This window comes from Homo sapiens, chromosome 4, assembly GCF_000001405.40.
Source record: "Homo sapiens chromosome 4, GRCh38.p14 Primary Assembly".
Lineage (NCBI taxonomy): Eukaryota > Metazoa > Chordata > Mammalia > Primates > Hominidae > Homo > Homo sapiens.
In genome coordinates this window covers 105,708,690-105,732,731 of record NC_000004.12, presented here as the reverse complement: position 1 = coordinate 105,732,731, position 24,042 = coordinate 105,708,690, and the positions used below count along the sequence as shown (strand labels likewise).

The 24,042-nt window shown below is 35.3% G+C and overlaps 1 protein-coding gene across 8 annotated transcripts in view, besides 1 other annotated feature; it reads right to left on the bottom strand.

Annotated features, from left to right (window-relative positions):
- The window catches only part of GSTCD (glutathione S-transferase C-terminal domain containing), a 138,942-nt gene extending 114,994 nt beyond the window's left edge, over positions 1 to 23,948 (bottom strand). For 2 of the 8 annotated variants that reach the window (XR_938771.2, NM_001370181.1), the window contains exons 1-5: positions 23,716 to 23,948; positions 14,693 to 15,139; positions 13,205 to 13,672; positions 5,902 to 6,153; positions 3,233 to 3,326 (exon numbers count right to left, since the gene is read on the bottom strand). Coding sequence is in view for 7 of the 8 variants with exons in the window: in NM_001370181.1 (NP_001357110.1) it covers positions 3,233 to 3,326; positions 5,902 to 6,153; positions 13,205 to 13,672; positions 14,693 to 15,118 (1,240 nt within the window). In the remaining variant the exon portion in view is untranslated. Of the gene's footprint in view, positions 1 to 3,232; positions 3,327 to 5,901; positions 6,154 to 13,204; positions 13,673 to 14,692; positions 15,140 to 21,691; positions 21,920 to 23,525 lie in introns of those variants that run through there. The other 6 variants (XM_011532252.4, XM_047416179.1, NM_024751.3 and 3 more) reach the window with 6 other exon arrangements.
- Positions 23,719 to 23,968: an enhancer, noted in NCBI's record as "active region_21784". NCBI's record gives its function as "activates an Ori minimal core promoter by ATAC-STARR-seq in GM12878 lymphoblastoid cells {active_cell/tissue: GM12878}" and the evidence as "EXISTENCE:reporter gene assay evidence [ECO:0000049][PMID:35858748]".

The following is a 24,042-nucleotide window of genomic DNA, read 5'->3' as shown; positions in this document are numbered from 1 at the left end:
TAGCAGAAGGCAAGAAATAACTGAGATCAGAGCAGAACTGAAGGAGATAGAGACACAAAAAACCCTTCAAAAAATCAATGAATCCAGGAGCTGGTTTTTTGAAAAGATCAACAAAATTGATAGACTGCTGGCAAGACTAATAAAGAAGACAAGAGAGAAGAATCAACTAGATGCAATAAAAAATGATAAAGGTGATATCACCACCGATCCCAAGAAATACAAATTACCATCAGAGAATACTATAAACACCTCTATGCAAATAAACTAGAAAATCTAGAAGAAATGGACAAATTACTGGACACATACACCCTCCAAAGATTAAACCAGGAAGATGTTGAATCCCTGAATAGACCAATAACAGGCTCTGAAATTGAGGCAATAATTAATAGCCTACCAACCAAAAAAAGTCCAGGACCAGACGGATTCACAGCCGAATTCTACCAGAGGTACAAGGAGGAGCTGGTACCATTCCTTCTGAAACTATTCCAATCAATAGCAAAAGAGGGAATCCTCCCTAACTCATTTTATGAGGCCAGCATCATCCTGATACCAAAGCCTGGCAGAAACACAACAAAAAAAGAATTTTAGACCAATATCCCTGATGAACATTGATGCAAAAATCCTCAATAAAATACTGGCAACCCGAATCCAGCAGCACATCAAAGAGCTTATCCACCATGATCAAGTAGGCTTAATCCCTGGGATGCAAGGCTGGTTCAACATATGCAAATCAATAAACGTAATCCAGCATATAAACAGAACCAAAGACAAAAACCACATGATTATCTCAATAGATGCAGAAAAGGCCTTTGGCAAAATTCAACAGCCCTTCATGCTAAAAACTCTCAATAAATTAGGTATTGATGGGATGTTTCTCAAAATAATAAGAGCTATTTATGACAAACCCACAGCCAATATCATACTGAATGGGCAAAAACTGGAAGCATTCCCTTTGAAAACTGGCACAAGACAGGGATGCCCTCTCTCATCACTCCTATTCAACATAGTGTTGGAAGTTCTGGCCAGGGCAATCAGGCAGGAGAAAGAAATTGTCCCTGTTTGCAGATGACATGATTGTGTATTTAGAAAACCCCATTGTCTCTGGCCAAAATCTCTTTAAGCTGATAAGCAACTTCAGCAAAGTCACAGGATACAAAATCAATGTGCAAAAATCACAAGCATTCTTATACACCAATAACAGACAGAGAGCCAAATTATGAGTGAACTCCCATTCACAATTGTTTCAAAGAGAATAAAATACCTAGGAATCCAACTTACAAGGGATGTGAAGGACCTCTTCAAGGAGAACTACAAACTCCTGCTCAATGAAATAAAAGAGGACACAAACAAATGGAAGAACATTCCATGCTCATGGATAGGAAGAATCAATATTGTGAAAATGGCCATACTGCCCAAGGTAATTTATAGATTCAATGTCATCCTCATCAAGCTACCAATGACTTTCTTCACAAAATTGGAAAAAACTACTTTAAAGTTCATATGGAACCAAAAAAGAGCCCGCATTGCCAAGACAATCCTAAGCCAAAAGAACAAAGCTGGAGACATCACACTACCTGACTTCAAACTATACTACAAGGCTACAGTAACCAAAACAGCATGGTACTGGTACCAAAACAGAGATATAGACCAATGGAACAGAACAGAGCCCTCAGAAATAATACCACACATCTACAACCATCTGATCTTTGACAAACCTGACAAAAACAAGAAATTCCCCATTTAATAAATGATGCTGGGAAAACTGGCAAGCCATATGTAGAAAGCTGAAACTCGATCCCTTCCTTACACCCCATACAAAAATTATTCAAGATGGATTGAAGACTTAAATCTTAGACCTAAAACCATAAAAACCCTAGAAGAAAACCTAGGCAATACCATTCAGGACATAGGCATGGGCAAGGACTTCATGTCTAACACACCAAAAGCAATGGGAACAAAAGCCAAAATTGACAAAAGGGATCTAATTAAACTAAAGATCTTCTGCACAGCAAAAGAAACTACCATCAGAGTGAACAGGCAACCTACAGAATGGGAGAAATTTTTTGCCATCTACTCATCTGACAAAGGGCTAATATCCAGAATCTACAATGAACTCAAACAAATTTACAAGAAAAAAACAAACAAGCCCATCAAAAAGTGGGCGAAGGATATGAACAGACACTTCTCAAAAGAAGACATTTATGCAGCCAAAGACACATGAAAAAATGTTCATCATCACTGGCCATCAGAGAAATGCAAATCAAAACCACAATGAGATACCATCTCACACCAGTTAGAATGGTGATCATTAAAAAGTCAAGAAACAACAGGTGCTGGATACAATGTGGAGAAATAGGAACACTTTTACACTGTTGGTGGGACTGTAAACTAGTTTAACCATTGTGGAAGACAGTGTGGTGATTCCTCAAGGAGCTAGAACTAGAAATACCATTTGACCCAGCCATCCCATTACTGGGTATATACCCAAAGGATTATAAATCATGCTGCTATAAAGACACAAGCACATGTATGTTCATTGCGGCACTATTCACAATAGCAAAGACTTGGAACCAACCCAAATGTCCATCAATGTTAGACTGGATTAAGAATATGTGGCACATATACACCATGGAATACTATGCAGCCATAAAAAAGGATGAGTTCATGTCCTTTGTAGGGACATGGGTGAAGCTGGAAACCATCATCCTCAGTAAAGTATCGCAAGGAGAAAAAGCAAACACCGCATGTTCTCACTCATAGGTGAGAAGTGAACAATGAGAACACTTGGACACAGGAAGGGGAACATCACACACCGGGGCCTGTTGTGGGGTAGGGGGAGTGGGGAGGGATAGCATTAGGAGATATACCTAATGTAAATGATGAGTTAATGGGTGCAGCACACCAACATGGCACATGTATACATATGTAACAAACCTGCACGTTGTGCTCATGTACCTTAGAACTTAAAGTAAAATTAAAACAAAACAAAAATCAAAATATGTCAGCAAAGAAAAAACAGTAACAAATAAAACAAATGTAGAAAAATGTGAGAAATATTAAATCTAAGTGGTGTGTGTATATATAATTTTCATAAGAAAAATAAAATGAAAACTCAACTGATAGTATAATCAGAATATTAGATAAAGCCAAAGGGAGATTTAGAGAATTAGAAGACATATCTGAAGACAGTATCCAAAGTATGAATAAAACTTAAAGAAAAAAGAAAACTCACCTTCCTTTGGGCTGACTGCTGCAGGGAGAACATTCCAATCAAGAGTCCAAGTAGGGCAAGGGTGGGGAGAAAACATCACTTCAATGCCCTTTTCCTAGAAAAGGAAATAGCCTCTTTCTAAATTAAGGAATTAATATAGTCTTATTATATTATTGAAGGCTAAAAAATTATATTTGTATATTGGTAAGGAGGAGGATAAATAGTAATAATCATCAGCTATTCCCCAAAATACATATTTTAATTAAATAAAAATACCATGTGTTGAGTATTTTGACATCACAATTACTTTCCTATTTTTTAATATTGTGATAATAAAAAGTAATGCTATTTTAAAATTATTACTAGAAAATCCATAGAAGCAATAAGCTACCTAGAAATATATTGGATATCAAAGAGAAAGTTCAGCTGAGGATGAAAATGTTATCAAAAACAATCCACATAGAAATAATAAAAAAAGAACTCTGCATATGTCCATCAAAGTCTCCCTTTACATATATGAAAATCGCCACAGCCTAAAAGCTACCACTTTAACACATACCCCAAAATACCACTCATACTAGTCTTTTATAAGTGCCTTTAATGTCACTAGAGAAAAATTCCTCTGGTGTAACCAAATGGTTCCCAATATTTTCAAGAATTAGGACCACTTTTCAATATATTAAAACATTTTCAGGATCCTTCTCCATCTTAGAAGCTGTACATTTGTTTATTTGATCTACGTACAGTGGCATGGCATACACATGGATTCACAGACCCCTTCCAATCACATTCCAGGTACACAGTCTATATCTATATCTATATCTATATCTATATCTATATATCTATATCTAGATATCTCCATGGCTCTGTTATTTTTATCTTTAGGAATAACCTATTCAAATAAAAATCTGTGAGACTCTAGCATCGAATGCTTTGTATCAGTTTATGAGATTACTTTCCATTATAAAAACTAGCTGAATTTGTGTCCCGAAGGAAATAGTACAAATAATCTTTCATTAGGGCTAGAGATATGGCTATTGATCTACAAGCCCAGAGCACTGATTTGCCTCCAGAAAGACAAACACATCTCTCTGACATCATCTACCTCTCTTCTATCTTCTTCAGTCTAGCCACACTGACCTTCTTGCTATTTCTCATTTCACTAAACTCATTCTTACTTTAGGGTCTTTTTAAAAAACACAACTATATTGAGATAAAATATATATATTAATACCATATAATTTATCCTTTTAAAGTATCCAATTCAGTGGTTTTTATAATATTCACAATTGTTCAATCATTGCCACTATCTATTTTAAGATATTTTCATCATTTCCAAAAGTAGTTGCATATTCACTCGAGAGGTGAACCAGAGGTCCCTTGGCAGTGTAGTAATATAATCAAGACACATCAAAATCTAGACATGCCTCAATAACTTCTAAAATCAACTATATAATCATGTTTCATTGCTTAATCAATAGGCCACAGAGCTTAGCTGAAGAGTTAAGGGATTGGTATCCTTACCAAAGTCTTCCTGTCCATTTCTAAATCAGTAAACTCTGTTAGCTACCGAACTCAAATACTTCCTAACCCAAATAGGGAAATATAATGAATATTTTTCCAGTGTAACTCGATGGATAACTTACTTCATGAATTCTCTATTCAAATAAATCCTCACATCACCTATTAAAAGCAAAATATTTTTGCAGATCATTTCAAATGTTAGGGAAAGGAAAGCCCATTGTTGAAAACTTTGCAATTAGTACTACTGAAAACAAACTATGCCCCAAGGAGAAAAAAAATAAAGCATATGCATTCTTTTTTTTTTTTGAAACAGGGTTTCACTCTGTCACCCAGGCTTTTATGTAACAAAAACATTAAAATCAAAGATTAAAGTAAAAATAAAATTCAAAGAATTCCAAAATTACAAATTTAAACAAAACCTTGGAATGTAAATTGAGATATTAATCTTTATATTTCTTTTTTTTTTTTTTCCGAGACAGAGTCTCACTTTGTTGCCCAAGCTGGAGTACAGCGGTACAATCTCGGCCCACTGAAACCTCCGCCCTCCGAAGTTCAAGCTATTCTGGTGCCTTAGCCTCCTGAATAGCTGGGACCACAGGCACGTGCCACCACACCCAGCTAATTTTTGTAATTTTAGTAGAGATGGGGTTTTGCCATGTTGCCCAGACTGGTCTCGAACTCCTGACCTCAAGTGATCCACCTGCCTCAGTCTCTCAAAGTGCTGGGATCACAGGTGTAAGCTACTACACCCAGCCTTATCTTTATATTTAACTTGCAATCATTATCCAAACTAAAAAAGGCTGAGACCAAAACTTTACAACAGAAAAAGATTATGTTAAAATAGTATACTTGACCAGGTATGATGCTACCTTGGTCAATATCCTGAATATACAAAAAAAAAAAAAAAAGTTTTGAGAAAAGGGCTTTTTAAAAGTATATATTGTGACTTACTTGGCTCCAAAAATACATAATACTAAAAGTTTTCAATTTAGTATACTTCACATAAATGAAAAGAGTAGCAGAAATATTAACTGGTAAAGAGTGAAGAAAGCTACAAATAAAATTTATAACAAAAATAATGTCAACAAATGATTACAAGTTGGAGTAGAATGCTCAGCAATATTATCACATAGAATTTTTCAAAGAAAATGTTAATAATTAAGTACCATTAACTTGGCCATGGTTGGTCTTGGTCCTCCTATAAATAAAGGATCGCTTTGCTCTTCTACACCTGGGACTTCACATAAGTTTGGATGCTGTTCAGTTGAGGTTGTCAACAACTTTGGTAAATGGAGAAATTGGATCCCACACTTAGAAGCTGCTGTTTTTACTCCTGGCACTTCCTGAATCCTCTGGTACCAAGAGGCTAGCAATGGAAATTCTACCAGCTTCTCAGAAAATTTCCTGCTGATAATTACCTAGGTAGGAAAATAATAAAACACATTATTATATATATTTTGTTTATAATAGCTGTGTTGAGGTAACTTTACAAACCACAACATTCACACATTTAAGTGTATAGTTCAAACAATGAGTTGTAGTAAATGTATCCAGTTATCAACCATCTAGTTTTAGAACACTTACGTCACCCCCGAAATTTCCCTTGTAACCATTTACACTCAATCTCTGCTACCACAGTCAGTTGCAGACAACCACTGATCGGCTTTCTGTGTTTACAATTTTGCCTTTTCTAGAATTTCATACAAATGGAATCATAAAATGTGGTTTTCTTCTATCACTTAGTATTATGCTTTTGAAGTTAATCCATATAGTTACATTGACCAATCGTTTGTTTCTTTTTATTATGACTAGTAGTCATTGTGTGGATATACTATATTTTGCTTACTCATTCACTGGTTGATAGATATTTGCATGTTTCCAGTTGTTGGTTATTATAAATAATGTTGCTATACATTATAATGTAGCAGTGTTTATGTGGCACTGTGTTTCATTTCTTTGAAAATCCAAGAGTCAAATTGCTAGGTTTTATGGTAACTGTATATTTAACTTTTAAAGAAATTAAAATCTTCTCCATGGTTGCCCTTCCATTTTACAATTCCCACTAGCAATCCATGGAGGTTCCAGTATCTCCTCACAACTTGTCAAACCTTGGTATTATCAGTCTGTTTGATTTTAGTCATTCTTGTGGGTATATAGTAGTGTCTCATTGTAATTTTAATTTGCATTTCCCTATGATTAATGATGTTGAGCAACTTTTCATGTGATTATTTGCCATTTGTGTATCTTCTTTAGTGATGTGTCTTATACGTTTTTATGATTCATTTCATAGCATAAAAATTGGAGCAACTCAGCAACGAGAAAATGAACAACACAATTAAAATGAGCAAAAGATCTGAGTAGACAACCAAAAAAGATACACAGATGGCAACTAAGTATATAAAAAAAATGCTCAGCATCATATATCATTAGAGAATTACAAGTTAAAACAAGGAAATGCCACCTATCAGAATGGCAAAAACCCAAAACACTGACAACTCCAAATGATGGTGCGCATGTGGAACAACAGGAACTCTCATTTACTGCTGGTGGGAATGAAAAATAGTACAGCCACTTTGAAAGACAGTTTGGTAGTTCCTTACAAAGGTAAATATACTCTTACCATACAATCCAGTAATTGTGCTTCAAATGAGTTGAACATTTATGTCCACACAAAAACCTGAACACAGATAGATGTTAATAGCATCTTTATTCATAATTGCCAAAACTTGGAATTAACCAAGATGCCCTTCAGTAGATGAATGGATAAACTGTGGTACAGCTATACAATGGAAAACAACCATCAATAGAAAAAGAAGAATACAATAATTCCAAAAAGAATCAATATAAATAACAATGGCATTTGCAAATGTCTATAAACAGTACAACTGAAAATCATTTTGGAAAACTTTACATCTTATATTCAATTGTCTACATCTTTCATTGGTAGTATGTTTTTACCCCTCTCTAAGAACTCCTCTATAATCAACTGCATTCCAATCTGGAAACCCTTTCATCTATAATTCATGGCCATGAACACATTCCTCTGTTCCTGACCCTCTATATACTTGATAAGTTCTTAACACACTGCATATAGAGAGTTAATTGGACAACATTATATCAAAAACCTAAAATCCTTAATATATACTTATGCAAATTAGTTTAACTGTTTAATGGGGAAAGAATTAAAATAAGTATTAAATTCCTCAACACAAATAATGTAACACGTTTAAATTATCACAATTTAATATCTGTAGTCTGCAATCATTGATGTATTTTGAGGGGTCTCATAGAAATTTTGTAGCTCACTGCAGAAGTGTAAAAATGGAGAGCTTGTACTATTAATAATGATCTAAAGTTCCATTTTTTTGTGTTTGTGAAACTACCTTCTCTGTATGTGTGAACTATTAGGCATAATCTAAATGATATTCCTTACCAATAATGTAAGAAGCATCTTTCAGAACCATATTTTTAAAAATTACACAATGAGGTAAGGAGAACATTTTACTAAAGAAAATAGTAAAAAGATAAAAGAGAAAATTGTAAATATTTAAAACTAAAAAAGATAACTAGCACTATAGAATTTTTTTTTTATAAAGCAGCACTTAAAGTAAGACTTTTATTTTTTCAAATTAGAAAAATTTTAAATTGTTCTTCCTGATACAAACTCATATATTTTTGTTTTCTCTTGGTCAGATGCTTTCTCCCTAGCACTACCACCAAATTCTATTTTCTTGAAAATTTAGAGTGTTCTTGCTTCTTTGAGAGGCAACAAATGTTTCCGTAGAAACCATTATGATGTCTCAAACACATTATGACTTATGATTATGAACAGATTATGAACAGATTATGACCTTTAAATAAAAAGGTCAAGTCACAGGAAATCTCTACAGATATATTTCACAATAATATCAGAGCATGAGACAGAAAGGACAGAAAATAAAAAATTCATACATATATATTATACTGTATTTTAAGTGGACTTTAAGATTAAATGAGCACAAGTAATTGATTATAAGAACAAGGACTGTAACTCTCTTTGAATACTGAAGCACTTAAAACACTGCCTTGCAAATAATACCCTGTTGAGTGAATGAACAAATGATAAAGAATCCATTTGTTACCTTCAGAGAGTAATCCCCTCAGTCAGTATTTTTCAAGTTGCTATTTATCACTCATTTAGGGGTTGTGAAATCAACATAGTAGGTTTTTAAAAAATGAAATAGAAAATATCAGAGTACACATCCTATAAGTTATTTTGTAATTATTTATATATTTTTTTACATATTATTTAAAGATATACATTTATTTCTATAATTATCCAACTTGTAAAATGTATTACAGTTGTCCCTCAGTATCCATGGAGGATTGGTTCCAAGACCTGTATCAGAAACCCAAATCCACAGATACTCATACTCATGTCCTTGATATAAAATGGTATAGTATTTGCATATAACCTATACACATCCTCTCCTATACTTTAAATCCTAGATTACTTCTAATACCTAATACAATATAAACACTGTGCAAATAATTGTTATTCTGTATTGTTTAGGGGATCACGACAAGAAAAAAGTCAGTACATGTTCAGTACAGATGCAATTTTTTTTCCAAATATTTTAAATCTGCGGTTGGTTGAATACATGAATACAGAACCAATGGATATGGAAGGCCATCTGTATTTACTGAGTTAAAGTAAAAAAAAAGTTTGAAAAATACTCTCTAAGGTACCCTGAGAGCCAAAAAGTTTATTAATTCTCTCAAGAATTGTGAATTGCTTGGAAATAGATTAGGTGCTAAGGGAATGGATCTTTAGACATGATAATCACACAAGAAATTTTCTCTTTTCCTCATCTTTCCTGTACTCTTCGTTCTAGTGACTTATTTTTATTTGTTAGATGTACGTGGCATCTTTCCTTTCTTTTGAAATGAAGTTGCAATTAAATAACAATAATTCATGTTTACAAGAAATTGAGGAGGTTTACTCTGACAGGTCACTCCATTTATCAACATGCCAGGCCACTCTACTAATATCCAGATAGCTCAGAAGGTACTGAACCACATTCATTACACTCATGAAGATATATTTAAGGAAGTTGCTAATGAAAACTCTGTGAAATGAAAATTAAATTTCTTCATAAGGAATGATTACCAAATAGTTACCTGGCTCATAAGATCAAAACCATTATAAATATCACAGAGTTCTTTAAGGACAAGAAAAAAAAAAGATGATCTATTTTTAAAACAAAGGTTTAAAAAAAAAGCATAGCTATCAAAGCAAAAATAAAATTTTAGTAACTCTGTAGTTAATTGTCAATAAAGGGCAGAAAAATTTGTCAGAATAAAAAGAGAAGCAAGATGTTGCATCTATTCAAAATATCTCCTCCTTTGCATTCCTTTACAATCACTTACTATATAAAATATTTGTTCTTATTTTATATCATTTCCTTAGTCATACTTCCTTTTTTGAAAATATACTCACAGATGTTTAGGTGAGCAGTGTAAGCAGAGAAAAAACAGTAAACAACCTATCTAAATGAAAATATAATCCCAGCTCTCTGTTTTTTACTTATAAATTAGAACTAGTGAGTTAAAGCTAAAAGCTCTTGAGGACCTAATGAATAGGAATAGACACAGAAAATACAAATTTACCACTAAATAAGTGGCATCAACCATTTTTGCAATATGCCAGCAAAAAGTGAGGTTCCCAACTTTATGCCGATGGGAACACAGGAAGAGGTATTTAGTTTTGCTAAAAAATCAATTTCTAAAAGAGGAATGATTTTACCTAAGCTAATAAAGATGTCTGTGTGTGTGTGTGTATGTGTGTATTTAAACTCAATTCAAAGCATTAGAAGTTAAAATGTAGAAAATTAAATCATAAGTGGTCAAATTACAAGATTTTATAAAATGATAAAATGCAACTTTCTGTCTTATAGGCGTACAATAATGTTTTAAATATTTCTGTCAAAGTGTACTTGCTTACTAGTAGCAACTGAAAAATAATATACAATCTTCTAGTATTGGAACAGTAGGATTTTGCCCTAGTATAGCTATTCATTGCTATTTCTCCCATAATGTTGATACGCTATCTACTAGAAAATTCTAGCAAATAAATTGAATGGGGGGAAACATGAGTGTACATATTAATTTATTCCTTTTAAATCTATTTCTAAGACTTTTCAGAGGAGAGGGTATCGTCAGGCCCCTTTCCTTATGAGGTGCTGAGCCATCAGGGGTTAACTTTGTAAAGTAATAAAGTATTTTCTGAAAAGGAAGAGCTTGCAGCAGGTTTATATATAATACCTTAGCATTTCCATGTTTGTCTCTGACAAATTAAAAAAAAACAAAAAAAACACCTCATCGATTCTACTTGTTATTGTTTTCCATCTTTGGTTTTATTCTGTTTAGCAGAACTGGGTATTTTCCCTAGTTCTTCTAATTTTGACCCTTAGTAATTCAAACCTTGATTTAGCAAAATTGACTCTTACTTTTATGTCCTTGACTTTATTCCTGCGACTAAATATTCTGTCCCTAGATTCAGTTTTATGTTTCTGGTAACTTGACCTTGATTACGGATGTTGAACTTGATCCTGATTCTGATCATTTGGATGGCCACTCCATTCACCTCAATGTATGTTAATGCAAGCAAAAAGGCTTGCCAACATAACCACTATATGAATTAAAATGACTACTTTATTACCCAAGATGATTTAAAGAGAAAAATATAACAAATATCAAGGGTTTATCAAAGAAGGATGAATTCTGGAAAACATGAGGTGGGCGGATCACAAGGTCAGGAGTTCGAAAGCAGCCTGGCCAACATGGTGAAACCCCATCTCTACTTAAAAAATACAAAAATTAGCCAGGCATGGTGGCGTGCACCTATAATCCCAGCTACTTGGGAGGCTGAGGCAGGAGAATTGCTTCAACCCAGGAAGCGGAGGTTGCAGTGAGCTGCGATTACACCACTGCACACAGCCTAGGTGACAGAGCGAGACTCCATCTCAAAAAAAAAAGAAAAAAAAATCCAGTAAAAATACAAAGGAACGAAGGAAAATATTTTGAGAATTAGTTTATGTATTCAAATAATTTTAATAAATTTCTTCAATAAAGGAATGGATATGCCACTTTCATTCAATTCTGGTGAAACTGGAAACACAGTTATCCAAAGAAGTCAAGAAGACAGAAGACCAAGTACTTCATAATGTATCAAATGACTGCTCTAATGACGGAACTTGGTAATAGAAGAGAGGGATCATGGAGAAGAGAACCTAGGAATCATCTGACTAGGAAAAAATTTAAAAATCAATGTCTTCTTCCCACTCAACTCCATGGACTCTGTGAAGACATATGACATCTGGCATTTAAAATAGCAATCAACATCTAAACAATTCCTGGATCTCTCTCTTTTTATATTGTTTTGGTTGCCAAATTTGGTTCAATTTTGAGGAAAAGAGAAATGTTCTTTAAGAAAATGACAATTGATGAATACTGCCGAGTTTACTTGTGAAGCAAAGCCTTCAAATACATAGATTTTCGATAGCAGTCTCTTCTGTCCATAGAGATACCTGAATTGTTGGTGATATATAATGAGAATGAAATCTAATATCTGATTCCTTAGTAGGGAAAAGGGGGAAATGCTTCCAAGAAAAAAACCCAAACAAAAGCAAAAAGCAATGCAGCTCTTGAAAACCAATTGGAAGGCTGCAGAGAGCTAAGCTTCCTATGTTCACTCTGGTATTATTTTCACCCTGTTCTTTTTTCCTCCACAGAGGGAATGTGTGTGTGCACACGTGTGTGCGTGTGTGAGTGTGTGTATGTAAGACAGACAGAGAGAGAGAGAGAGAGATCTTCCTACTCAGAAAACGTTCTATCTATTCTCCCCCAGCACATAATAACAGAGCCAGCTACTTTACTCTCAGAGAGAACAGAGAAAAGCACACAGGTCAGAATAAAATATTTTCAGTTTGATAATACCTAACATAAGATTAATTTAAGTGACTAACAATTCATTATAAAATTTAGCTGACAAGATTTTTAGTTTTTTTTTTTTTAACTGCACCCTCTAATAGTAGACGTCCAACGGAGTATCCATTGCACCACAGAGCCGACTTGGACCTTCTACTATTAGAAAGTAATCACAACAGAAACTTGAAATTAATAATAACAATTGTTAACATTTTAGCAACTTCACATTAAAAGTCATAGTAATTACTAACTTTGATTGAGAGCTTACTATGTGCCAAGCACTGTTCTCCATACTTCACACAAACTTTAATTTGTTCCTTACATTTTTCCTTTTAGATAGGTACTATTATTATCACCATTTTACAGATAAGAAAATGGAGAAAGATATTAATAACTTTCCTAGCAGCATATTGACAATAAAAAGTAAAACAGAAATTCAAACCTAGGCAATTTCATAGACTGAAACTCATAGTAATGTGTACAGTCCAGATGAAACCTTACCAAGAAATGATGGATACAGGGCAAGAGCACAATATCTGCCAGAGTGAAGTAAAGCCCTTCTGCAAACACATGCTCCAGAGGTGGAAGGTCGGAGGCTTTTGCTTTTCTGATGTGAGAAGGCTCTCTGTTGGTAGTAGCTGGTTCTTCCTGTACTGTGAGCTTTGAGAATGCCACTTTCAGTTCCAGACTCTTGGATGAAGAATCCAACCCTTCAGATGTTTCCTGTGTGTGGACCTTGCTCTTTGCCTTTCCCTTAGTAAGGGGAGGCCCAACTCCATCAGCCTTCTGTTGCTTGAGCTTCTGCCTGCGGAGTTTATCATCATTATGCACTCTAACAGGCTCACTAAGCTTTTTCTCTAGCTGTAGTATTTCTACAGGTATAGTTGGGGGCTGGTCAGAAGATTCTCTGAGAAAATTCTCAATAGCCAAAGGGATGGTGAGTTCACATAGCCTGGTCCACTGACTAACCTACAAAACAAAAACAAAACAAGAAATGAAAAGATTTTTTAATTTCAATATAACTTTAGAAAAAATAACTGTCTTATTGGGAAATAAGTTTTGAGCTCAATCATCCCTGGGCTAGGCTTTTATGTTGTATCAGGAGACACATCACAGTGCTTCAGAAGTAAAAACATTAAGCAAAAGAAGTTTAGCATTCCTGTATTCCCCTTACTAAATAAATCATTACTTCCCAAAGCCTTTACAATATACCTCCCCTGTCCTACCCTCCTCCTAGCCCCCACAATAAGCAGGGCTTCCAAAGCATTGCTATTTGAGCTCCTATTTATATGTAAACATTCCATTTAAAAATCAACATAACTAAAATAAAGAAAAAAGAGTTATTTTCTAAAAATGTCTCCAAACTTTATAAATTAAGACTTAAATTCTTATTTTTCAATACTGCACTGAAATATTGACACACGTAAAGGGTATATTAGCCCATTTGCATTGCTGTAAAGGAATAGGTGAGGCTGAGTAATTTATAAAGGAAAGAGGTTTATTTGGCTCATGGTTCTGCAGGCTATATAAGAAGCATCTGCTTCTGATCAGGACCTCAGGAAGCTTTTAGTCATGGTAGAAGGCAAAGGGAGTGCAGGCATGTCACATGGGGAGAGAGGGTGCAAGAGAGAGCAAGGAAGAGGTACCAGGCGCTTTTCAACAGCTAGATCTCTCATGAACTAATAGAGCAAGAACTCACTCATTACCCCAGTGAGAGCACCAAGCCATTTACGAGGCATCTGCCCCCACGACCCAAACACCTCCTACCAGGTCCCACCTCCAACAACATTGGGGATCACATTTCAACATGAAATTTGGAGGGGATAAATATTCAAACTATATCAAAGGGCTACTTTATTTCATTGGTTACTGGGGTTTTTTAAAATAAATAAACTTTTATTCCTAATAGGAAGTTAAAATATTAAATGGTCAGGTAATTATGTTATCACTGTGTAGCTTCAAATAACAGAAAAAAGACATTATACTTACTTCAGCACAGGCTTTCAAGCAAGTCTTTTTAAAGCCCAGAAGTTCCAAAAGTTCCTTCTTTAAGGGGTCTGCTTCATAGGATTTCTGGATTATGTGTCTCAATACAACAGCAAGTCCTGCTCTACAAAAATTGTCTGATCGTTCTACTACTGCAGGCAAACAGCAATTTTGGACTATTGGTGGGAGCTCCTGCCTTGAAATAATCTGTATTTCAACATCCTGGATCAGGTCATCTCTTAGTAGTGAACTATCTCTACTCACCTCTTTGGTGACAACTAAGCAAATTTTAAAGATTTTACAGTCACAGTAAGATAACAGAAATAAAGTTACAGATGTATGAAGAGGAAAGATGCATCCTTCTGTTTGGTGAGAAAAGTCCAGGTACAGGTATTCTTCTTCTGTAAGACTTTTCTTTATGGCTTTCATTTTCTTCTTTCATTGGGTCACCTAAAGTATAAATTGAAGTGATTATGGTCTTAGAATATAATCATTTAGAAGCTAAAATAAAAGATGAATGTTTCAAAAGCCTGTTCTAGAAATCAGTAAAAATTTGCAGTAGATAATAATGCTATAAGGTTTGTTTCTGAAGACTGACTAAATGACTTCCAAAAGAAAAAAATTCCACCCTGTGCAATTAACTAGCATTAGAGGAAATATTACACCCAGCTCCTTTAAAATGAGCAAACCCCAGTGCTTTGCAATAGAGCCCTCCCAATCAAGTATTTTGGGGTCTCACTATATGTGAGAACAGGAGATAAATAGAAGGGGAAATAAATTAACCAAAAATACTGAGAGCTGTCTGGGGATAATATCCTTGAGAAGTTTTGACAGTGCTGGTCCTTCCATACTGCTTCTTTTTTACGACCCTACAAAATAATAGGGAGGGGATATTCGTTCTTTCAGGAGAAGTGGATTCTCCTCAAGTAAGTGATAGCTGCTGAGTGCTGAATCATAATATAAAAATATTTAAATTTCCCCATAACATGGATACTGATAGCTATCTTAAAGTTAACCTGTCCAAAATCCAGTTCCTTATTCTCTCCCACCCCTCAAACCTGCTCCTTATGTGTCTTCCCATCTCAGGTTACACCATTCTTTTCCTTCACACCCCCATAACCAAACCCTCCAAGGTCTTCCCACCCTCCTTAGAGAAAAGCCAAAGTTTCTGCAACAGCCTACAAAAATCTCCTTGATCTAATCCTCCTTTATGTCTCAGAGTTTGTCTCATTAACTTTCTTCATTGCTCACTGCTCCAGCCAAAGTAGATTGTTATTCCTCTAAAACAGCCATCTCCAACATTCTTGGCACCACGGACCAGTTTCATGAAAGACAGTTTTTCCATGGGAGGTTGGTGGGGGGATGGGGATGGTTTCCAGATGAAACTGTTTCACCTCAGATCATCAGGCATTAGATTCTCATAAGGAGAGTGCAACCTAGATCCCTCCTGCGTGCAGTTAAGAGGGTTGGAGCTCCTATGAGAATCTGATGCCGCTGCTGATCTGACAGGAGGCGCCATTCAGGCAGTAATGCTGGCTCACCTGCCACTCACCTCCCACTTTGAGGTGGGGTTCCTAACAGGCCACAGATGGATACTAGTCCTGGGCCCAGGGGTTGGGGACCCTTGCTAAAACACTAGGTACATTCTCACATCAGGGCCTTTGCATTTGGTGTTTCCAGTACCTAGAACACTTCCTCACTTCCTTCAGGTATTTATTTATTCAATGGCAACTTCTTACTGAGATCCTCCCTGACTACTCAATTTAAATCACAAACCCCAATCCCCACGCTCCCTGAAAAAAACCTTTCTATTTCCATCTATGTTTTTTCTTCCTAGCGCTTATTGCTATGGTGATATACTATATGTTATTATTTGTCTCCTCTAACTAGAATGTTCCATGAGTAAAAATTTTTTGTTCACTGCTTTATAGGTTTATTATATATATAAGCAAGCAGTATTTGACAAATGAAAGCAGAGATAAATATACATACTGGTTAAAGGTGCAAACACACACAGTCTTGAGGTCAGATTCTTCATGGCTATTTTCAAGTCATATTCCTTAAGGTTTTTATCAATTGTCCTGTCTTTTTATGTTTATACATTTCCCGGGTCAAAAATTCCTAATGTTCTAATACATAAATTACAATTCCAAAACTGACACTAGATGGCACTCTTTAAAAGTATTCACCATGGAAATACGTACCAGAAACATGACATATTAGAAGGAAAATTACTTTAAAAGCTGTTAAAAAGTACACATGCACCTCTTGTCTTTTAAGTGTATTCAAAATGTTAGTGTACACTTAATTTTAGAAAACCTTCATCATACTAAATTTTCTTTAATATTTTAAATCCCTTTTTTAAAAAAATCTGAAACAAGACCTAAACACTTTAAGCTTCTTAGTTCTTCATTTTTTAAAACTAAGGAACTTGTAATCCATTATAAAAAATAAATATAGTCAGTAAAGTATTATCTAAGTTTCTTAATAATACAAATAATCACTACTGCTTTATTTTATATTTCTTCTATTAAAATATAACAGATATATACCATGATTTGTTACTTCTTAAAAGATTATCTGGGGGAAAATTATTTTATATACTGTAAAAGCAACAACTTTTTAACTTACAGATGCCATTTTCTCCCTGAGCTTATTTTTTAAAAATTTTTGTCACTGAGAGATAATTTTAAAACAAAAAGGTATTTATTAAAGATCAAAGTTCAAAGAGTTTTTTTATAAAGCTGAATAGAGCTCTGGAAATATTTTCATTATTAATATAACACCTTTATGCTATAAGTCCTTAAAAACAGTCAAACAAAGTGAGATCTGTAACAACACTAGGGCAAAAAGGACCAACCACACTTTCCAGGAATTAACAGTCTTTTTGAGGAGTTTGCTCTGGACTCACTCTCCTGACAGTAGGAGAGTAAAAAGAAGACTCACCCCTAAGTGTTTCAAGAAAGCAGTTTTGAAAGAAAACATGACTGATTTCATCATTTGCCCAACAGTCTAAAAAATAGTAATTACGAGGCTCATCCTAACACTTTTTAAAAAACTGGAAACAAAGCCATGCTATTTAATAGCTTTTAAGATATGTAGAAATATTCTTTTAAAAAGTATGCCTATATTTGCCACGTTGTAAGGCACATAAGAATATGAAAATAGGATTTTAGACATATTCTATAAACTCTTCTCACTGTTAGCACTTAATAAAATGCTAAATGTCAGCAAAACAGAATAGCAATAACCTGCCCATGGTGATATCTAAAAATTAATGAGATGCCTGAGAGAAAATGCAACAAAGTACTGTTGATTCTTAACGTATTTTTTTTAATATAGATGTTGGTTTTCCCCCTGGGAGATTAAAAATGTTACTTAATGATCTTAGAATAAAAAAAAAAATTACTCTCCTTGAATAATGTCTCCCTATTATGTACTAATATAATTTTTAAAATAAATATTAAATATTTGTAAACCTGTACAAATGTGATGTTTTTGGCTTGCACTGTGCCTTTTTAGAGAGTAGAACCAGTATTTGCTCCAAGTATGCAAATATCACAGGCAAAAAAAAAAAAATCCTTCCTCTTTTTTCTTTTCTAGCTTCAGAATGCCTTAGTTCGCTAATTTTCTGTCACGAGCTTTAAGAAGGTAGGTACTATAGAATCAACTTCTGTCTCCAGGGCTTCTGCGGCACAGCTCTTGTTACTCCATATTACATTCCTGCCAAGCACAGAAATAGAGTAATTTACTCTTTCTCAGCTTTGACAGGTGCCACTCTGCAGAGAGGGAGTGAGAAAGTAGCAGACAAAACCACAAACTTCAGGATATTAAATAGAGTGTGCATCTCTTTCCTGGACGTGCCAATTTGCTTGGGAATCTTGCCGAATGAATAAATGGGTAAAAAGAAAAGATTATGTCTTTGATTTCATTACTCAGGAATGTTCTAATATATTTTTAAATGGTGGAATTAGTCATAGGTTTAATATTTAGGCATTCAGATCTGGTTTTTTTTTTTCACTTTCATTCTAATGAATATATCTTAGCCTTGATAAAACACAGAGAATGAGAGATAAACAGTAAACATATTAAAAACAAGCATACTTCTCCACAGTCCAGAAAAAATAAAGCTTGAAAATTTTGTGATCAAAATTCAAGTCAAGATCTATGGCATTATGTATACATAACATTATATATTAGATAAATTATATATTATATAATGAAGACCAAAAAGTGCATAACTGCTGCAAATGATTAACCTGTGTTTTGTTTTTTGTTTTTTCAAATAAGTTATCTTTGTGACTACAATTTGATAGGAGCTCAACAAATGTTAGGTAAATAAAGTTTTAAATATTACATACATTTTATTGTCCACCTACTATGTGCTAAGCACACAGAACATGTGCATTACTTCTAATGCTCACAATCCTTAAAAGTATTTTATTTCCATTATAGAGATGAGAATTGTACATCAGTCCAAAAGTATTAATTAAATTCATAAAAGATCTTATTTAGAGACATTTAAGAATAGGTATTGTTCTAATATAACAGTACTATTTATAAATAAAATTTCATAAATTGAAGCAATTTTACCAAAGTGAAAATTGTCAGATATTATGTTATTCTAAGCAAGTATGCTGGTTTCAGTAATCCTTGATATAAACTTCCATTCCAAAGGCTGGGTTATTTGACAAGTTTCTGCACTGGATTAAATTCTTTGGCAATTCTTTCCTGATTCCTTTCATTGGCTACTCTGCAGATGTCTCAGTGACCCACAGCTCAGTGTTTTGCTCTCTGCTCAATCCACACTCCATCCTTCGAATACTGGCTTTCAAACTTTTGAGCATGCCACACAATTAGGTATATATTTTATAATGTAACACACAATACACTGAATAAAATAGAAACAAAAATGTCATGAAGCAATACTTATCCTACAATATGGGATAAATCTGATATTTTTTACTCTGTGCTTGTTTTTTTAAATGCTGGTTGTTACTCATTACATTGATTTCCTGACTCATTAATGGGGCACAACTCACAATATGACAGCACTGTTCTGGGTGATCTCCAGTGCCATAGCTTTAAATATGATCTGACTCTTACATGTATATCCCAGCCGTATCTTCTCCTCTAACTCCAGACTACTATATTCTACTTGACATCTCCATGTGGATGTTTTTCTAAACCTGCTCCCCTTCCCTTCGTGTTCTACTTCCTGGTAAAATGGCAACACCAATTACCCAGATGCTTAGGCCAAAAACTCAAAAGTCCCACTCAACTTCTTTTTTTCTCTCTCTCATACCCTGCCATCTCTACCTTTGAAGTATATGCTAAATCCAACTCCTCAGCACCTCTACCACTACCACCTTAATCTAAGTCATCGCCAGTGCTTACAAGGACTACTGCAAAAGCCTATTAACTATTTTCCTCCACTTTCCATAAAACAGTCCATTCTCCAACAACAGGGTGATCCTTAAAAACATAAATCAGATGTCTCGTGCTCAAAACCATCCAATGGCTCTTCAGCACACTCAAAATAAAATCCAAATTTCCTATTATGGCCTATAGGCCTACTGTGACCCTAGCTATCCCTTTCTGACCTCATCTCTTATCCTTCTTCACTCCCTTCCAGCCATAGCTGTCCTTGCTGTTTTTGGAAGGTGCCACTTGAGAATATTTGTACTTGCTATTGCTTTGCCTAGAATGCTTTTCTCCAAGAGATTCACAGGGCTTGCTCCCTCATTTCATTGATTTTTCTGCATAAATATTAACTCAGAACAGCCTCTCCTGACTGCCTGAATTGAAAAAGCACACCCTAGCCTCTTACCTAGCTTCCCTTTTTCTTCATAGCTCTTATCACCTAACACTATAACATCTCCAGTGCTTAATGAACTGAAACTTTAGTTCAAGGAATGAATGTACATATATGAATGTCAGAAATCACTGTCTGAGAGTATTATTAATAACTTTAGTCTTGGTACAATGTGTATCTCATTCTTCATGACACCATTCTTTCTTTTCCAAATTAATAACTCTATTTTAAGGACCAACTAAGTATAAATTAAAATGAAGAAATAAGATCACCTTTGTGAGGTGAATCGGGAAAAGTATAAATGGAATCTAACCAAACTCATAAATAAAGCAAGCACAGAAGTTTTTATGTATACTTATATCCAGGGCAAAGGAACTAAGAATCTTAACTAGATTCCATACATGTGCCTAGCAAGAATATTTATAAAACAAGAATTATAAAGTAATAGATTAGAGCCGAGACTGTTGAGCCAGACCACCTGGGTGCAAATATACTGGTTCTGATTCTTAGTAGCTATAAAAAACTTTTCTGCATATCTGTTTCCTCACTTATATAATAAAATGGAGACAATAATAACTGTACCTACCATGTAGTGTGCCATACAGAAAAAAGCTTGTCACATATTAAGTCCTTAAATAAATACTAGCTACTATTATTTCTTTATAATTTATAACCAAATTCCTTATCAACTGGCACTATTAAAATATGCAAACCTTGATGGGCAAAACCCAAATTATGGTTTATATTTTCAAGCTTCTTTCCATGAAAGGTAAAGGATTTATATTGATTGAAAAGTTTTTCCCAACCAAATACTGAAAAAAAACATATTTGTTACTGAGGCTGAAAGCCAGGGAATCATGAAATGGTAAAATATAAACGTGAAACCCTTAATCCATGTGCATATCAACCTATTGTACAAAATAAGAAGTTCAACACAGTTTATAAGTATGAAAAATCACAAACACTTACTTTTCTTAAAGATTAAAATTTAAACCTGCCTAAATTCTCTCCTACATCATATGTTCAACATTTTGAATTTTATAACTTATCTTGTGTTTTATGCTTTTCATAAAACAACAGTATTTGGCTGAAAATTGTACCCTATTTTATTACAATAATATAGATTTAACCAAAACAAAACAAAACAAAAAAACATGCCCCTCAACAGATAGATAGCAGCCAATTACCTTAAATATTTAGGGTCAAAAACGATAAGAAAAACACTGAGATTTTTTCAAGCTCATTAAATACGTAATATGGGATGCAGTTAAGTCCTAGAGAACAAAAGCCAGTGATTAAAATTAGCTGTTTTCTTATCTGGTAAAGAAGTAGGAAAAGTTTTTAAGTGAAAAGCTTACAGTAACCTTAGCCACAAACGAAGTGTGTAATCTCTCTGGAGAATCAGGGAATCATCTGTTGCCATGGAGTCATAATGCCTTCAGCTAAACCCGACCTCATAATTAACAGTGATCGACAGCGCAAATGGCTAACATGTTACCAAGTATGAAATAAAATTACTGAATTTTCACAGCAAACAATACCTGTGCTTGTTTTAATCTAAATGGTTTCAATATCTGCATTCCAAGTATTTATTCTTTGTTAGAAAAGCTAATTGGATACTCAGTATTTATTTTTATTTAAAAATCACAGATGATGAAACAAAAGCTACAAGTAAAACAAGTTTAAAAAAACAAAAACAGGCCGGGCGCGGTGGCTCACGCCTGTAATCCCACCACTTTGGGAAGCCGAGGCGGGCGGATCATTTGAGGTCAGGAGTTTGAGACCAGCCTGGCCAACATGGTGAAACCCCTCCTCGACTGAAAAAAAAAAAAAAAAAAAAGGAGCCGAGTGTGATTGTGGGCGCCTGTAATCCCAACTACTCGGGAGGCTGAGGCAGGAGAATTGCTTGAGCCCGGGAGGCGGATGTTGCCATTGCAATCCATCCCCAGGCGACAGAGCAGGACTCCAGCTCAAAAAAAAAAAAAAAAAAAAAAATTGATGGGCCCACTACTACAGAAGCTCAAGTTTGAGCTGTGTTTAAATTAAAGCAAAAACACGTAGAAGTGCAAAGTATATAAAATAAAAAGAAATGATGATTCTCAAATCTCATTGACCTTTTCAGTCTTATTTTTGAAGTGAGACCTCACAAAACGATACTTTCAGGTGTAATACAAACACAATTTTTAGTAATGAGTGTGCTTAAAGCAATCCTCTCAGTGGTGTATGCTCCCCATCAGGCAGTTAAAAAAAAAGAAAAAAAAACCCGCATAGCTTAATGTTTATTAAATATGACAGCGAATCACTTAGTTGTGTTATAACAGTTTATTATCATGGATTTAAATGACTATGTTTACATGTTTAAAATTATCACATCACTAGTTCTTGCTAGCTTTTGCATTTTCTCCTGTAAACATTGTTTTTACAGATAAGCTTAGGTAAAATAGAAATACACCACCTTCTTTATCAATAATGTAGCACACAATATATTACTAAAGCTGGCATTTTCTTGATATTCAAGAATTTATGACAAGGAATGGGATCCTGGCATTAAGAATAAAGGGGAAAAAAACAAGTCATCTCATCCCAAAACCAGGTAGAAAGTTGGGATGGGAAGTACGTGTATTAGCAAACGTTTTTGAAACCAAAGCAACTTTCATGCAAATTAAACTTTCTATAGAAGTTAAAAACCCAAGAGATACTGCTGTGATGACAAAACATAAGCAAATGGCCCCAAATGAAGCAAGTCCTTTGGAGTAAATGTTAAGTAGTATTCACATAGAACTGCTTTCTGCAATCAGGAAGGGCTGGAATGGAAAACTCAATGCCAAAGAGAGAAGAGAAGTTAGTGTGACCCAAGAGGTCTTGAAGTAACACTTAACAGCAAATATCAAACCACCCCAACCAACGCCTCCAACTGGAAGCTGCCCCATTTCTCCATCAGCAGAGGAAGACATGAGGGACTGGCTAGGGGGAAACTGGGAAACGCGTACTACCGAGAAGCCCAGAGCCCTCAACCCGCACCTTCAGCAGGAGTGGCCAAAAAGGAGTTTGAGGCGGCCCCAGGGCGGGAGAAAAATCAGGACGATGATACCACGCCCTTGTCCTTCCCACCCTTCCCCCGCATCCTCAGCCCTGCAGACCCCCGAAGAAAAGACCAGTTCTTAGGGGGTCGCGGAGGCTGAGAAGCCGGCGGCCCGAGCGCCCTCTTTACCTGGTCGCAGAGGCGCGGCCAGGCAGGGAGGGTGCGTGAGCGTGTCGGCGACCTGGGCCGCCTGCGCCTTCCCGCCCAGTCCGAGCTGGAATTCCAAGGCTGCCTCTGGGAGCTGCTGCCCGCAGACCACTCGCCTCCACAGACGCCAGGAGAAAAACGACAGCCACCTTATGTGGAAAATACTCGCGCCGGCCGTCATTCATAATCCGGCGGACCGGAAAAAGGGAAGTAACGTCACTTCCTACTGTCGCACTGCCAAACGTTTCCCCCGCCCCTACTGTGGGAACCTTTGTTTTCCTGCTTTCGGAGCCGGCCAGTGCGGGAACC